The following is a 16,954-nucleotide window of genomic DNA, read 5'->3' as shown; positions in this document are numbered from 1 at the left end:
TGATGAAAGTGAGACGGTGATCAAAGGAAACTTGGGGTGACAGAAGAGCTTTATCTTATTTCCCTTCATTTACCGAGAAGTCCTGTTAGAATCACCAGGTAGATTTCGGTGTGAGATGAAGATTAAAATAAGCAGAAGCATATTATTCACATACCAGTAAGATAAATTGCTGATGATTAAAGTGTAAATCTTGGTGCCCTAAGTTGATGATCTCTGCGGGTTTTGTGCACCATTTGTAAATGGCATTATCTTGTCAACTTGGATTTTGGGCAATTTCTTTTCTTTCATTGAGCAACAAACAACATGGCTCTCCCAGGCAACTAACTTGCTACCTAGAGAATGCCTTTGTTCTTGAATTCTAGGAACCAGAATTTGGAATGGAAGCACAAAATTGCAGTGTCTAATAGCCCTTTTCCAAGTCTTCATGAAGTCCGGTCACATGAATGAGAGCCCTTTCTTACGTTTTCCACTGAGGCATTCTCTCCTACCCCTTCTCACAGTGACCATATAAGTGCAGAACCAGGTAAAGATAATTTAATTGATGAACTTCCCCTTAAGGAGCCAGGGTGAACACTTAGCAGAAAAACAAAACAAAACAAAACAAAAAACCTTGGACTTTGGGTGATAATGATGTGTTGATGTAGGTTCATTGACTGTATCAAATGTCCCACTCTGGTAAGGGATGTTGAAATTGGGGTGGTTGCATGTGTGTGGGTACAGGGGGTAGATGAGAATTCTCCATACTTTCCATTCATTTTTTTCTGTGAACTTAAAAGTGCTCTAAAAATATAGTCTATTAATCTAAAAAAAAAGATTTGACAATGTCTTGTGGACTAATATAAAAAGTGGAGACTAGCCAAAACTTCAAAAATGTAGGAGAGGCTGGATGCAGTGCCTCATGCCTCTAATCCCAACACCTTGGGAGGCCAAGGAGGGAGGATTGCTTAAGTGTAGGAGTTCGAGGCCAGCCTGGGCAACATAGAAAGACCCTGTCTCTACCAAATAAATTTTAAAAAATTAGCCTGGCATAGTGGCACACACCAGTAGTCCTAGCTACTCAGGGAGCTGAAGTGGGAGGATCGCTTGAGCCCAGGAGGTCAAAGCTGCAGTGAGCTGTGATCACATCACACACTCAGCCTGGGCTTCAGAGTGAGACCCTATCTAAAAAATGGTCAAAGAATATAGACTAGAAGGAGACTTTCTCAAGAGGTGTATGGGAGAGGAAGAAAAATTACTCCGAAAAATGCTATTTGATATAATTTTCTCATTTTTATTTTTGTTGGAACCATCATGACTACAAAAATTCCCCACCCTCATAAAAATAATTATTCATTCACTTGCTCACTCACTCATTTACGAATTGTTTTTGAGAAGCTCCTATGTGTCAGCACTCTTGCAGATACCGGGATTGTTGAGGTGAACAAAACAGATATGGTCCCCACCCTCAGGCAGGTGCATTCTAGTGAGAGAAGACAAGAAAACTAATATATAAACAATAGTTTAGATGCTTGTAAGTGCTGTTACAATCATAAAACTTGGAAATAGCTGTGCAAAGACTAAAAGAAGAGAATTCCAAGCAGAGGGAATGAGAAATGCAAAATTTCTGAAGCTGTCCTTACCTTGACATAATCACGAAAGAGAAAGGCCAGTCAGGAGTGTGCCAAGCACTGAGCTCCGCAAGCACTATCTCATTAAATACTTCCAACAATCCTAGGCAACAGGTATTACTATTATCCTTGTCGTGTAGATAGGAACCTGAGGCACAGTGAATGAGTCACAGAAATCTACTAATTTTGAGGGAGACTCTGTCTCAAAATAAATAAATAAAGCCATTCCCACTGGAAGAAGAAGCACTTGAGTCCTTTCTCAAAACTAGTCAGGTTTTTTTGTCTAATATCCCAGAGTCATTCGCACTCTTACACATGACAAACCTGTATTTTAAAAACCATTTAGCTCCCCAAATATCTCAGAACAATAAAAGATACTGGGAGACGTGATTGGTGGTCCTTGTCTTGTAAATGCCCTTCTCTTGGTGAGTTTCTGTGCAGAATGGGCATTCTGGAGGAGGTAAGTTAAACAAAAGTCAACAGTTTCCTGACAATTAATAAAAAGATAATTTAGTGACAGAGAGGCAGGTGTGTACAGAGAAATCATAATTCAGCAGTGGAAAGCAGTGTGTTGATAATTTGAAACTATTTAAATCAGATAATAGGGAATGATTGGACTAAATTCTTTCCTATTTCCATCTTTTACTCTCTCCCCTAATTCTGTGCAGGGTAAACATTCCCAAGCCCCTTTGTTCACCTAAACTTCATCACTCAGAGTAGTAAATGGATAATTTTCGGCCACACACTAGAACACTGTCTATCTGACCTGGGTTTTTATTATCCAGATAACATATTTCCCATCTTCTTAATTTATGGCAGAATATGGCATGAAGGCTCAAGAATGAAAGAAAGAGATGGCTTTTTAACAAAAACTGTTAGATTGGTGCAATGATCTAGAATTCTGATGCTGTTTCAGTTGCCCGAAATTGGCGATCACACTTGTTCTTCTGGCATCCCCGCTCGGCGATGCATCTGCCAAGTTGCCTTTGGTTTTATGAGGCATGTGTTTCCAGAGTGTTTTGAATTAAATATCGTAAGAATCCAGCAGGGCTTTTAGGAATTCCACATGGATGGAAAGACAAATATTGGGTTCACAGCTGCCAAGGAAGCCAACACTTGAGGGGCCATAATCTCGAAGAGCAAGGAGGTACTGAGAAGTAAACACTACCCTCCAACTTTGTTCTCAAAACATTGCCAGGTTCTTAAACCACACAGGGGAGAGTGCTGTGCATCTAAACAGAAAGATGCTAAAAAGTAGATCAAAGTTCAAAGCGCTCTCAAGGTGCTGAGAAGGCAAAAAATGTGGAGTAGGAGTTTGCCAATTCTAAATGTGAGAGCATCTAATGATGTAGCCTGAAATATATATGAAGCAAAACTGAGAACTAAAAAGAGACATAGACAATTACACACACATAGAGAAAAACTTGAGCACCCATTTTTTTTTTATGAAATAAATAAGGAGTTATTACCAGATGGGTGCTCTGGGATTCAAGACCAGGTTTGTCTGACCCCAGACCTGAGACACAATAACTCTGAGCATTACTTTGCCAAGTTTACATCATCTTCACCTCTTGAACCTACATCGTTCTCTAAGTTGGATTTCCTTTGCTTGATTTTCATTTTGTGTTTTCGAGATCACTCTCAGTGAGTGGTTCATCATCACATCCTAAATAACCTATTTTATAGTTCCTGACATACCACAGGTATTCAATAACTATTTGCTGAGTGAACACCATCAATGTCTTATGAAAATAATTTATGAGGGTAAAGTCAGCATTGTTTTGTTGTCTTCGGACATTCAGGCTTGTGATCTTTGAACCACAATTCTGAGCCCTATTTTAGAGTGAAGTGAAACATATCACATCTGATATTTTTAAACTGTTGCCAGTGCATACGCTTTGACCACTTCTTGCTCCTTTCATTATTATCCTGACAAATTGTTTGTACCCAAATCCGCAACCATTTTTGGCTAAATTGTCTAATTACACAAGTTATACACATCCTTCCAATTTAAATGGTCCTCTTTTATTTGTTCATTTGTCCATGATCTGTTGTTAAGAACATCTTACATTATCTGCAATGTTGATATAGAAGAAAATAAAATCACTAACCCCAGAGCTAAATCTTCTGAGTCCTTTTTTTGTACAAGCAAGTCCTTTTTTTGTACATTTATGAGTCATAAATTTATTCCGTTACTAAAGATAAATAGGGTATTGGTATTCTCTTCATTCAGCTGTTTAATCAATAGGTCAATCACTCACTAAATAACTTGTATAATTAGTTAATTAAGTCCAAAATGGTGGTGGATTTGGAAACAATGAGTGGAGTTACACAATATTCATTTTGGCCAAGGATTCATCCAATGTATCTTATCTGAATATCAATTATATGATAATATGTAATTTTACTATTGGTCTACAGCATTTTATAGTAGAGATAAGTTATGGATTATGTGATCATTTTCATTCAAACTCAGAAAACCGAAAGCTGCATTTAAGGGATGACAGTATTCCATTAAAGGTTGATGACTACTTCCCATTAATAGATTCTGAAACCTTTTAAGAGAAAGTAATTGATATTCAATTTTAAGAAAGGCGAGAAATGTATAAACTCTGAAGCCATTTTCTCAGAAATGGAAGTGATTTTTAGCATCAAAAACTAATATAAAACAAACTATATGGGTACAGAGAAATATTACCCTTTTTCTCAATTTTAGGAGAGGAAGCATATGAGAATATAAGAGAGAACACATATGGCCCATTTTTATTGAACTTCTGCAAAGGTTTCTTCTCACCTACCTTAGTTTCACATTAAAGGCAATTCTGAGGAAACACATTGGATGTAGGGATGTGTAAATTAGAAATTAGGCCAGGCACGGTGGCTCACACATGTAATCCCAGCACTTTGGGAGGCCAAGATGGGTGGATCACAAGGTCAGGAGTTCAAGACCAGCCTGGCCAAGATGCTGAAACCCCATCTCTACTAAAAATACAAAAAGTAGCCGGGCATGGTGGTGCACGCCTGTAATCCCAGCTACTCGGGAGGCTGAGGCAGGAGAATCGCTTGAACCCAGGTGGCAGAGGTTGCAGTGAGCCAAGGTCGCGCCACTGCACTCCAGCCTGGGCGACAGAGCAAGACTCCATCTCAAAAAAAAGAAAGAAAAAAAGAAATTAATGTATGTTCACTTTTCTCTCATAAACACTTCTAGAATTTTTCAGCCAACAATTTTATTTCAGCAAGATATTCAGGTTGGTTGATTACTTTAAAACTTATATCTCATTATGATGTTTTGGGAACAAACAGAATATATGAAGACTGTGATGACAAGATTTGTTGTGAGACAATATCTCACAGTATCTTAAAACCCTCAGGAATTAAGACTGAGAAGGGTGTAGATTTACAACGTGGTTGTACTCTATTGTGAATCTGCTTAATGCCATTGAACTGTTTACTTTAATATAGTTAATTTTATGTTACATGAATGTTACCTCATTTTTTAAAAAAATACACTGTAGCCTTTTTTAAAATTGGATCTAATGTTATTTCATTTCTTTTTGAAATTTTTATCTGTTATTTTTAATTGACACATCATAATTGTACTTATTCATGGGATACATGGTGATGTTCAATACATATAATGTATAGTAATCATATCTGGGTAATTTTGTACCCTTTAATGAATCTTTCTCTATCCCTCGCTTCACCTAGTCTTTCCAGCTTCTGCTATTCTCTGTTCTACTTCTTACCTCTTTGAAATAAACTTTTATTTTAGCTACCACGTATGAGTGAGAACATGCTGTATTTAACTTTCTGTTTCCGGCTTATTCTGCCTAACATAATGTCTTCCAGTTAGCCAAGTAAGCTCTCCACGCTTCCATTTCTTCGTTTATAAATGTTTCTAAATATCTAACTAAAACATTGTTATGATGAGGTTCAATTGTGATTTAATAGACTACAGCATTTGTAAATGATAAAGCATTACAGAAATGCTAGTTGCTGTTTCTGTTTCTGCTCATGTTGTTCTTGATAGAATTGTCACCGTTTCTGCTTTTAGCTAAACTATAGGAAACTGTCCCCTATGAAGCAAGGAAGGGATTGTGCAAGCTATTTTCATCCATTGAGAAATACTTAGAAAAGAGTGTGCAACTATATTGGCAATTTTTCCTCTTATTTATTTGTGTTGATTGCATGCCCATTATAGCTGAATTCATGAAGACCATTGTCCTCTGGGTTAGATAGTTCCTACCTCTCCCTCCAGACGCACTTTTCACCCTTCCCCGCCCTCCTCTGTGCTCTGAAGACTGACTTCTTTGTACAGCATCACCTGGCTTCCCTTTCTCTCGACTTCTGATGAGGTTTAGTCAATGGAGACACCAGCAGAATTGTGGAGGACAAGAGCACAGAGAGATCAGGGAATTTATTTTGCTTACTCCCTCACTGCTGGTCATGGTTTTGTGAAGTCTGTTCATCTGGGGAGGCCCACAGTACCACTGGATAGCCATTTTCTCATGGCCACCACTCTTATGGGGTGTGACAATCTCGCCCACTTCTGCCCTTCCAGCCTGCATGTGAAGACAGCTCCACTGGAGAAGTTCCCATGTGTTTTGCCCCCTCTCACTGGTTCCCTTAATTTTGTCCACCCCTATGTGAGTATTCCCTATATTAACTCACTCCATTTACTGTCTTTGAATGTGCTACTTGTTTTCTGCCCTTCTGACTGATACACCTTCCCTAACAATATTAATAGGCAACATATGCGTGGTCATATGAATTCGGTGCTATTATTATAAACCACCGATTATACGTGAGGGACACGAAGCCCATTGAGATTAAGTAACTTGCCCAAGGTCATGCAGCTCATAAATGACAAAGTTGATATATGACCTGAGGCAGTTTGGCTACACCATAAAAGCTTTAACCCTTATGCTTTACTGTCTTCACCTATAAAATTGTTATTGGTGCTGCTTCCAAGTTCTTAAATGAGGGTTGTTCAGGCCAATGACTTTTCCCCTTACACTATCAGTGATATGATTTATTGTACTATTTAGTTTTCATTAGTCACTATTAATTGTGAGAAGTGCTTACTCAAAGTCACAAGCCAATGTCCTCCAATCACCAAGTGATACTTTCAATTAGTCTACTAAAAGAACCCCTCTTGCTACATCTAATCTGCCCTTGTTAACATGCTATTAGTGGGCAGCATCCAATTTTCTCTTTTCCAGACACTGAAATGAGGCAGGAGCAGCAATAATTTAGATACAATCAGAGTGGGTTATACAGCCTCATTTTCAAATTAGTAGGAATGATAAAATACTTTGCTACACCATCAAAGACTCCTCCATTTAAAAAATAAAAACAGGAAGATATCTCTCACATTTGTTATGTTTTAAAAGCGAACTTTAGTCTGCATGTATGCTCAGGAGTCTAGGGTGGGATTAAAAACAGACAAAAATACTGAAGAGAAACAGGCACTGGTGACCACTCTGGAAGTTTTGGGTATACCTATGAGATACATGTGATATTGTACACAAATAACACTGTTTAAAATTACTTGACTGGGGGCCATTTGTTCACATGCTTAGGTTTAATAGTGATCATCATATAATACGAACTTACTGCAGGCAGTAGACTCTCCTAACATTTCGCATGTCATAATTCATTTAATCCTTACCGAAGCCCCATGTGGTAGGTGCAGATTAATAAACCCATTTTACAGATAAGGAAACTGAGGCACAGAGACATTATTTAACTTGAATAAACTCAGGATTATTTGACTGGCTCCAAAGTCCAGGCTCATATGCCTTTCTTACTCCCCATTTGGTTTCAGTGATAGCTCCTGGATCATCATTTCCAGTTGTGCTATGAACTTACTCAAGCCCAAGTAAAGACACCGTCCCAGGTGGCCAGCTGGGTAACATCAGCTTGAAGTGAAATGACCAAGAACAATATTCTCTTTAGCTTCCTTAATATGTGTCAAGATTTTCCCTAGAATTCACATTCCTGGGCTTCTGAACAAAGCACTGAATTACCAGACTCAACTCCCCGGTGAGAACTGCAAAACCAAGCAACCTTTGATATATTTTCCTTCCAATATTTAGAACAAAATGAAAGAAAACAAAACCCTGAGATGGGCATTTCAGAATGTGGGCTCCTAAAACCAGCACTTGAAATACTTCCAGGAATGCCAGCCAGAACAGAAAGACCACTGGCAGCAATCTCCAAAGCACACTCAAAAGATCCACAGGTGGCCAGATGGTGCCATGACACAGCCAAGGCTTCCCCAAGGGCCCCAGGATGGAAGAAAATACCAGGGCTCTGTCAGAGACAAGCCTGCATCTGCCAGTGTAAAGAACCTTTCCTAGCCAAGTTATGACAATAGTCATGGGAATACGTTCCTGTCTTCCACTGCCTTTCCTCAGATGTGCACCTAATGTCCAAGAGGAGATTTATTGCAAATGCCTTCACAGTCATCAGGATAGAGAAGGAGTACTCAGGGTCTGGGCTTTGCTTTTCTCTTAAGAGGAAACTCTGTTAGAAATAAAAAGGTCTACAGGATATTGATTTTTCTCTTTTTTTCTTTGAAAAAAAGACTTTTTCACATTCTTTTAATTTTATGGACATGATGATGCCAGAAGTAACATTTGCCTACTTATTATGTGCTGATCATTGTGTTCCTCATTACATTTGTTTTCTCATTTGATAATACAACAGCCTAAAATAGACTGATGGTAAAGAGAGAGAGACAGAGAGAGAGAGAGAAAGAAAGAGAGAGTGAGAGAGAGAGAATAGAAGATAGATAGGATAGATGATAGATGATAGAGAGAGAGATAGATGATAGATTAGATAGATAGATAGATAGATAGATAGATAGATAGATAGATAAATACACACACAGAGAACTATACATGCACAAAAAAAGAAAGAAAGGGAAAAATAATCTGTAATTCCATCACCCTTAATCTTACAATTTTCTTTTTTGCCTATCATGGTCTGCAATCCCATGTACATATGTGTCTTACTGCATGGACATTGGAAATGTTCTTGGAAACAGCAATGGTCAAAAAAAATCCCCCCACCCCTAGAGTTTACTGCAAAGAATGACCCTTCCCCATATGACTTAGATAAAATTTACAAATGACCCTCTTTTTCCCCATGACAAGGACAGACATAGATCCTCCAAATTCCTATTCATTGTCTGGCAAATGATTAGCCAAGTCCTTTGACCCCACCAACCAGTCTGGATAAAACTTCGACTAATTTGACTTGATGAAACTTTAGTCGGGTTTTTCTCCTTCCCCAGGGTCACAAATTTTGGCTCACCTTTAAGCATTAGAACTCAGAACAACCCCTTCTAATAACCCCTCCTGAAACTCAGCTGACCTCAGGAAAAAAGTAATTCCTAATCAATCATCCAATCAATCCACTGACTCATCCCACCTCATGACACCTAATTATTTCTAGCCTTGTTTACTCCTCCCTCTAAAACAAGGGCCAACCCCTTGGCCATCCATGGCCTATTAGGAACCAGGTCTCAAAGCAGGAGGTGACTGTCAGGTGAGTGAGGGAAGCTGCATCTGTATTTATAGCCTCTTTCCATCGCTCACATTGCCACCTGAGCTCCACCTCCTATCAGATCATCAGCAGCATTAGATTCTCACAATAGTGCAAACCCTATTGTGAAGCGTACCTGCGAGGGATCTAGGTTTTGCACTCCTTATGAGAATCTAATGCCTGATGATCTGTCACTGTCTCCATCACCCCAAGATGGGACCATCTAGTTGCAGGAAAGCAAATGCAGGGCTCCCACTGATTCTACATTATGGGAAGTTGTATAACTATTTTATCCTATATTACAAGTAATAATAATAGAATCAAAGTGCATAACAAATGTAATGCACTTAAATCATCCCAAAAACATTCCCCCACCCTGGTCAATGGAAAAACTGTTTTCCATAAAACCAGTCCCTGGTGCCAAAAAGGTTGGGGACCACTGCTCTAAAAGAAAAGCCCCCTTTCTGCCTAGCCTTTTTTTTTCTAGCCTTGTTTTCTCCTCCCTTTAAAAGAAAAGTCCCCTTTCTGCCTGGCCTTTGAGATTTGCTTGCAAATCTCATATGGGAAGATCCTCCCTATTGCAATATGCATTTCTCCCTCATCTGGCTGGTTCTTGTTTAAATCCTCATTTTCAGTAAACTCTCTTTCTACCTAAGTTTAGATCTGTTTTTATTTGATATTATCTATCTAGAAAAAATAATAGTTGATGAAACTGGGACTGGCCTCTATTGCATATGCTCGTTTACAGAGAGGCAGCAGTGTGCCACCTGAAAGTTGGGCAAATTTGGTCTGGTTGCTCACCCTCTCCATACTTCATGTGTCATCACCTGTTCAATGCAGATGACAGTACCTGCTTCATGTAACTGTTGTGAAGACTAAAAGGTTAATATTAAATGCTAACAACACTGCCTGACACACCATAAACACCATACTAGTCTTTCCTTTTGCTGTTATTATTATAAGTTTTTCATTTAATGGTTTATTTTGAATAAATTCTTATGTTTTTAAAATTACTTTTCAATATAGTTTTAATGATGACTAATATTCCATTATGTGCTAAGGTCATAGTTCACTTAACTAATCTCCTATTATATTTTATTCTAATTATTCTCTAAAATATACAATGTTCTTGATAATTTCCAACCTAATATCATTACTCACATCCCTTATTATAGTCCCGGGAATAATTGTTAGATCAAAGGATATATAAATGTCAACATTTATTTTGAAAATATGTATGATCAAATATACGCCAGAAACACTGGGCAAGTGGTTCAGTGTAAGAGTACACAATTATTTGCACATTTTTAGCACATTTTTCCATTTTTTAACTCATTGACAATTTTATAATTTAACATTATATAGAATTTTTTCTTAAAATACTTTGCTATAGCATAAACATGCAAAAAAAAGTGTATGAACAAAAATGTATTGTCCATTAACTTATCACAAAGTGATATTCACAAAGTTTACCCACGTAACGTAATGGTGGCGAATATTAGTAGCACTGTAAAATCTCCCAAAGGCCACTCCCATTTTTATGAATTTTTATAAACAGCATATAGGTTTTTTTCTCTTTAACTCACAGTGAAAATCAGTATCTTTAAATTGAACAGTTCAGTCAGTTCACAGGTTATATGTTTGCCAATATAAACTTATGCTGCTATTTTATTATGTGCTTTCTATCTGTCTAGTCTGTTTTGTTTCGTTTCTTTTTTATCCTTGTTTTATAGTGCAAAATTTTTATTATTCTGTTTCCCATCTTAATTCTATTGCTTCTAATATTCCCTTCTACATTCTATTGCTATATTTTTAATTGTTACCCTAGACATTAAAAAGCATGTTCGATTTATGGAAGTTGAATATAATTTGATAATTTTCGTATCTTCTAGGACCATAAAAGGGTCTTAGAACAGTTTATATACATGTACTCACCTCCTGACATAAATGCTGTTTATGTCTTGTATTTTAATTCTACATGTATTTAAATCCCACAAGTCATTTTCATTTTTGTTTTACATGGTCCATACTCATCGATATATAGACACGCATTTTTACCCTTTCTACTCTTTGTTGCTTCTTGCACCTCTAACCCAAAACCTGGGATCATTTTTCCTTCTGTCTTCAGTACACTTTTCATTACTGTGGGTCTGTGATACATTTTTATCTGTTATTTGTCAAAAATATGTTTATTTCAAAATTTTTAAGGATATTTTTCACTGGTTACAGAGTTCTTGATTGGCATTTTTTTCAGCCATGTAAAGATATCATCTCACTGTTTACTGTCTTCCATTGTTTATGTTGAAAAGTCAGATGTCAAGTCTATTTGTTGTTCCCAGGAAGGTAATCTGTCTTTTTCTTTGAAACAAATTTCTTTTGAAATTTTTAATTGTTTCTGAATTTTAGTACATTTACTGTAATTGACACAGCTGTGGATCCTTTATAAAAGTATTTTTTCTTGAGTTCATAGGAATTCCTCAGTTTTCTTGATGTCTTTAATCAATTTTGGAAGGTCCTCAGCCATTATCTCCTCAAATATTGCTTCTGACTCATTTTATTGCTTCTCTGCTTTTAAAAATATAAATTCTTAAATGTTAGACCTTCTAACTGTATCCTCTGCAGTTCTTATTTTATCTCCTTTATTTTTAATCCTGTTGACTCTTGGTGTTTACTCTGGACTTTTTTCCCTGATGCATCTTCTTGTCCACTAATTGTCTCTTCAATGATTAATTTGTCCTTAAATTAATCCACTAAGTTTTACATTTTGCCTTTTGTTTGTTTCTTTGTTTTTACTTCTAAAACTTACTTTTATAGCATTAGGTGCTTTTTTAATAGTTTCCATTCCTCTGCTATAATTTTCAGTCTCATCTTTTATTTCACTTAACATAAATGTATAGTTGTCTTGAAGTCTGTGGGTAGCACTTACAATATGCAGAGGCTTTGTGGATTTAACCTATATGTTTCTATCATGTGTTGGTTTTTGCTGGTTTTCATCTACAGTGTTTTGGTTTGTTCATGAGCCTATTTAATTTTTATTTGTGGGGGACTATGTTTCTGCTTAATTGCTTGAAATGCTAGGATGAATTTTTTTTCTTCCAGAGAGAAATTGTATGTGATGCTGTAAGTCACACATGGGCACTTGCAAACTAATATGAACTCTATCTTATTTCCGCAGTTGGGGTGATTTCAAACTCAGATGAGGTCTTTGTGAAGGACTGCCTATTTGTGGCTCACATTTACCCCTAAGGTGCTATCCTGGGGAGACCCAAAATATAGTGTCGGTCCATCAGGCCCCCATCCAGCCACTCCCTAAATACCATTCCTTTTCTCCCTAGTCACACCAGATGTTCAATGTACCTCTCAGACCTCAGCATTCCAGCTAATTCCTCTGGAATTGGCCTGCAGGGAAGAGGGGCCTCAAAGTCCAGGATTCCTTCCCTGGATCTCTCTGTACAACCCTGGATACTAGCCTGGAAATCCTTTATTAATAAACCAATGGCTGCTATTTGCATTTGTTATTTTTCTGTTGTCCTTAATGGGAGAGTTATCTGAGAATCATCCCAAAATTACCTAACCTGCCATTACTTAAAGTAAAAAGCTTTTTACATTATTCTTTTATTTAGTTTCATTGATTTTTTTTGGTCAATGATAAATGATTTTTCATGGGCTTATAAATGATTTTTATTTCTTCTGGGAGTTGCCTTTTTGTATATGATAATGACTTAGTATTAATAAATCTACAAGTATTTTAATCCCTCCTTTGTTATCTCTGAGCTGGTGAAAATACAGCCAAATTATTTTGGCCATGTCAGGAAAAGTTTATTATAAAATATGAGTGTAAGTTCATTTTAGAAAAGATATAAACTTCTAAATTATCAGCAATTCCTGTGCTTTAAACATCTAGTTCCTAGTCATGGACAACGTTGTCTATTTTCAAAGTGTAGAACACATAACTCTCAGTTTTGCCTGTTAGGAAAGTACTAACATGGAGAATGCAAATGAAACCTACATATAACCAAGCCATTTATTAAACAGTATTTAATACTCTTTCATCACTAAACTATTGAAACAGCTAATAAGCTGTAATGTTGACTTATTTGGGGTTTTGCCTCATTCTTAAAGGTTGAAATGTTAAAAGTTACTGAAGTATCTATGGGGTTAAAAGTAGGGTAGACTTTATAAAGAGAACAGGTTTTATACCAATTGACAAGAGAATCTAAATGTAAATGTCTACTCAGAAAAAAACAGCAAAAGCTGAGTTTATGGATCAATAGCCTACCTTAATGCAGTTTGTCTAAGTGCCTTCACACATTTCCTCACAATTGATCTTGACCTTTAGATATGATATCCATTTTTACAGGAAGAAAACTTGGGTCTAGATTTAGTCAGTGTATTGGACTGCAGACATTGTTTCTTTCATAACTAATGATGACGAGCATTTCCTTCTCATCTCCATCACCTGCTAGATGGAAATCTTTTGATGACTACTCATCAATGCTATTTCTTGAATAATACGATTGCGCTAATGAAGAAGGCCTTGTTTCCTGGCAAAACTATGAAAAAGATCTGCTGAGAAGTACCTAATCAACCACCTAGTGGTTGCTCTCCACACAGTTAAACCCGAAGTTACCTCACCTAGGACTTAACTGTGAGGAGAGCAACCACTATAAGGCAAACAACAGGTTCATTGCTAGAACTCCCCCAGAGGCATGGGGTTGTGATGTGAATGCATCATGCAGCCTGGCAGCAGTGGAAAGCCTTTTGTAAGATATTTTTCAATGTTCCCCGGCCCCTTTGGTAGGTACACATCAACCTTTCTCACATAAAAGTGGTTCGCACTTCTCTGAGATCTCTGGGAAGCCAAAGATACAACACTTCCATCACTGGTTTTATAATACTGTCTATTTTCCAGAAAAGGCTGATGAAAGGATGTATACCCGTTTACCTCCAACCGCCCTTGGATTTCAGAATCTATGAAAAGAAACAATGAATCGGCCAGGCGCGGTAGCTCACGCCTGTAATCCCAGCACTTTGGGAGGCCGAGGTGGGTGCGTCACCTGAGGTCAGGAGTTCGAGGCCAGCCTGGCCAACATGGTGAAACCCTGTCTCACTAAAAATACAAAAATTAGCCAGGCATGGTGATGCACAACTGCAATCCCAGCTACTTGGGAGGCTGAGGCAGGAGAATCGCTTGAACCTGGGAGGCAGAGGTTGCAGTGAGCCAAGATCACACCACTGCACTCCAGCCTTGGCTACAGAGCAAGACTCCATCTCAAAAAAAAAAAAAAAAGAGAGAGAGAGAGACAATGGACCAATGCCAATATTTTCCCCTTTCCTTAGCTCTTATTGTGGAAAAAAAAATAATTGTATAAGAACATTTGAGGAAATGCTGACAGTCACTTTTTGACAAATAGACCAATAGGCCAGAGGCAACCCAGTAAAACCAACAGACACCCAAATGCTTAGGTATTTGGAGTTTTATGTCTTTCTCTAGCTCGCTGGAGTATTATGTCTTTCTCTAGCTCAGTGTTTCCCAGCCATTGATAATCTACATCTCACCTACATATGTAGTTTTTGATAGGTGTGCATCACCAGTGTTGGGAAAATACACTTCAAAACAAAATATCTGGCCAACGCAGAAAATCTCCCCATAAAGATAGTAGAAAAAGAAAATGTAGTTTTATCATTTTATTATTGAATAAGTGTTAAACCAGAATGTGATACACATCACAGGCAATCTGCTAAGAGATTGCAAAGATAGAAAGAAATCTCACCCTTTAATATAGTCAAAGCAATACAACTCATTACACATGTTCTCAAGATAAATAATAACTAGTTCTGAAGTAAAGGACCTAACAGCACCATTTGTCACACATAGTTCATTCTAAATTCACCAAGTAATTGAGGTTACCATCTGTGTTACCTAATTGGCTTCATACAGAAAAAAATACACTTTTTCTATCTTTATGACAGGAGATAGTTTTGCAACTTAGAGTAAGGAGACTATGCAAGTTAGACTCCTACCTTTTCACAGAAGCTGGGAGAGAGGGCAGCCATCTTCCTTGTAAACGATATTCCAAAAGGATGAGTCCCAGGTTCATAAGAAAAGACATTCCTGGTCATAAAGCTGGAAAAGACTTCTTTAGCTTTTAAAGAGATTTACATACATTTCAAAGAGACAGAGAAAAACAATTACAATTAGGAAATCTCTAAAGTGCTCTAAGAAAAGGAAGGAGGTATCTCTTTCTTTATTTTTCTTATTTTCAACAGGGAGAAGTCAGTCTCTTATTTTAAAATTGTATTTGCTCTTTACACCTGTACTGTTTTTATTTAATTTTTTATTCAATTCATTGATTCTTAAACTTAGCTAAACTGCAATTCATGAAATAATAATTTTGATGTATTGAAAATAATTTTAAAACATTTAAAATAAGTGAGTCATCACCAAAATTTTAGTTTTTATTTTCCCATATAAAATGACTTTACACGACACTAGTGATAGGACCACCACAATCTGGGAAGCACCGTCTAAGCTGAGCTCCATGGCTAAAATTGAAGATGCGATAGTCCTAGAATAACTAAGATGATTTTGCCAATGGAAGACTAAACTCCAGATACCAAAAAAGGAAAGCCTTCGTAGGTTCCAAAATATGTGAAATTTCTCTCTTTCAGGCAAAAGTAGGAGGGGGAGAAATTTTGACGGGAAATTTGTTAACATTTTAACACAGAGCATCCATGAAGAAATGGATCATTATTTTTAATTACATGCAGTTATTGGAAGAAGGTTCATATTAACAACCAGCACATTGATAACCAAGAGTGGTTCTTAGAAAGGGGAGGGGTGTTGGTTTAAAAGTAAAATAAAAATTGTATGGAATTATAAGTTCATAGGTATAAGCCAGATGCTCCCTATGTCTTTCAGCTCTCCTTTCTTCAATGTCTGCACATGGTAGCTCAAGTGAAGAGCTTTCGTAGTGGCAAGCTGAGCACTGCACATACACACCTCCCCACCACAAACCTGCACCTGCTCTGGACCAGCCACGGCTCGCTCCATGCCATGTCCTGGTTCCTGTGGCTCTGCCCATTATGCCTTGATGTTTATTGGACATCACTCCACCCCACTCAGTCACCCAAAGAGCTACTTACCTAATGCTGACCAAACTGGATTTAGTGACAACCCTGGGGCAAAATATAGAATGAGAGCCCTGGAAATTGAGAGCTAAATACCACTTTCCCAGAGCTTAAGAAAAGACAGCTAGAGCGAGCAAGAGAGAAGCCACTGGCTCTAGCGCCATCATAAATGGGGGCACATCCAGGTCCTCCTCCGTGTTTCTAAGTCCTCCTTGGTTCAAGAGTTTTCTTCTCCATGTCCTCTTGACAGCACCGTCCCATTCCTTGGGTGTTCTCCCTACTTATTTAAAAAGATGTCTGTATTAGTTTGCTAGGGCTGCCATTTAAAAATGACCACAGACTGAGTAAAACAACAGAAATTTATTGTCTCACAGTTCTGGAGGCTGGAAGTGTGAGCTCAGGTGTTGGCAGGGTTGATTTCTTCTGAGACCCCTCATCCTGGCTTGCAGATGGTGTCTTCTCCCTGCGTTTTCACATGGTCTTTCCTCTGTACATGTCTGTGTCCTCATCTCCTCTTAACAAGGATACCAGTCGTATTGGATGAGGGTCCACCCTAACAACCTCATTTTACCTTAATTATCTCTTTAAAGACCTTGTCTCCAAATATATTCACACTCTAAAGTACTGGGGAATTAGGGCTTCAATACATAAATTGGTGGAGGGGA

General features: G+C 37.7%; 2 long non-coding RNA genes across 2 annotated transcripts in view; one reads left to right on the top strand and one right to left on the bottom strand.

Moving 5' to 3' along the window:
* Nucleotides 1-16,954, bottom strand: part of LINC02826 (long intergenic non-protein coding RNA 2826) — a 59,958-nt gene that overhangs the window by 41,069 nt on the left and 1,935 nt on the right. Inside the window, exons 2-4 of the long non-coding RNA NR_183612.1 lie at nucleotides 16,662-16,752; nucleotides 16,305-16,569; nucleotides 15,183-15,304 (exon numbers count right to left, since the gene is read on the bottom strand). This is a non-coding gene — a long non-coding RNA (long intergenic non-protein coding RNA 2826). The remainder of the gene's footprint in view (nucleotides 1-15,182; nucleotides 15,305-16,304; nucleotides 16,570-16,661; nucleotides 16,753-16,954) is intronic.
* Nucleotides 417-8,162, top strand: LOC105370058 (uncharacterized). Its single transcript, XR_945503.2, has 2 exons — nucleotides 417-523; nucleotides 7,435-8,162. It is a non-coding gene; the product is annotated as an uncharacterized LOC105370058 (long non-coding RNA).

Source organism: Homo sapiens, chromosome 12, assembly GCF_000001405.40.
Source record: "Homo sapiens chromosome 12, GRCh38.p14 Primary Assembly".
NCBI classification, from domain to species: Eukaryota; Metazoa; Chordata; class Mammalia; order Primates; family Hominidae; genus Homo; species Homo sapiens.
Note: the sequence above shows the minus strand (reverse complement) of the source record. Positions and strands in the feature narration are given on the sequence as shown.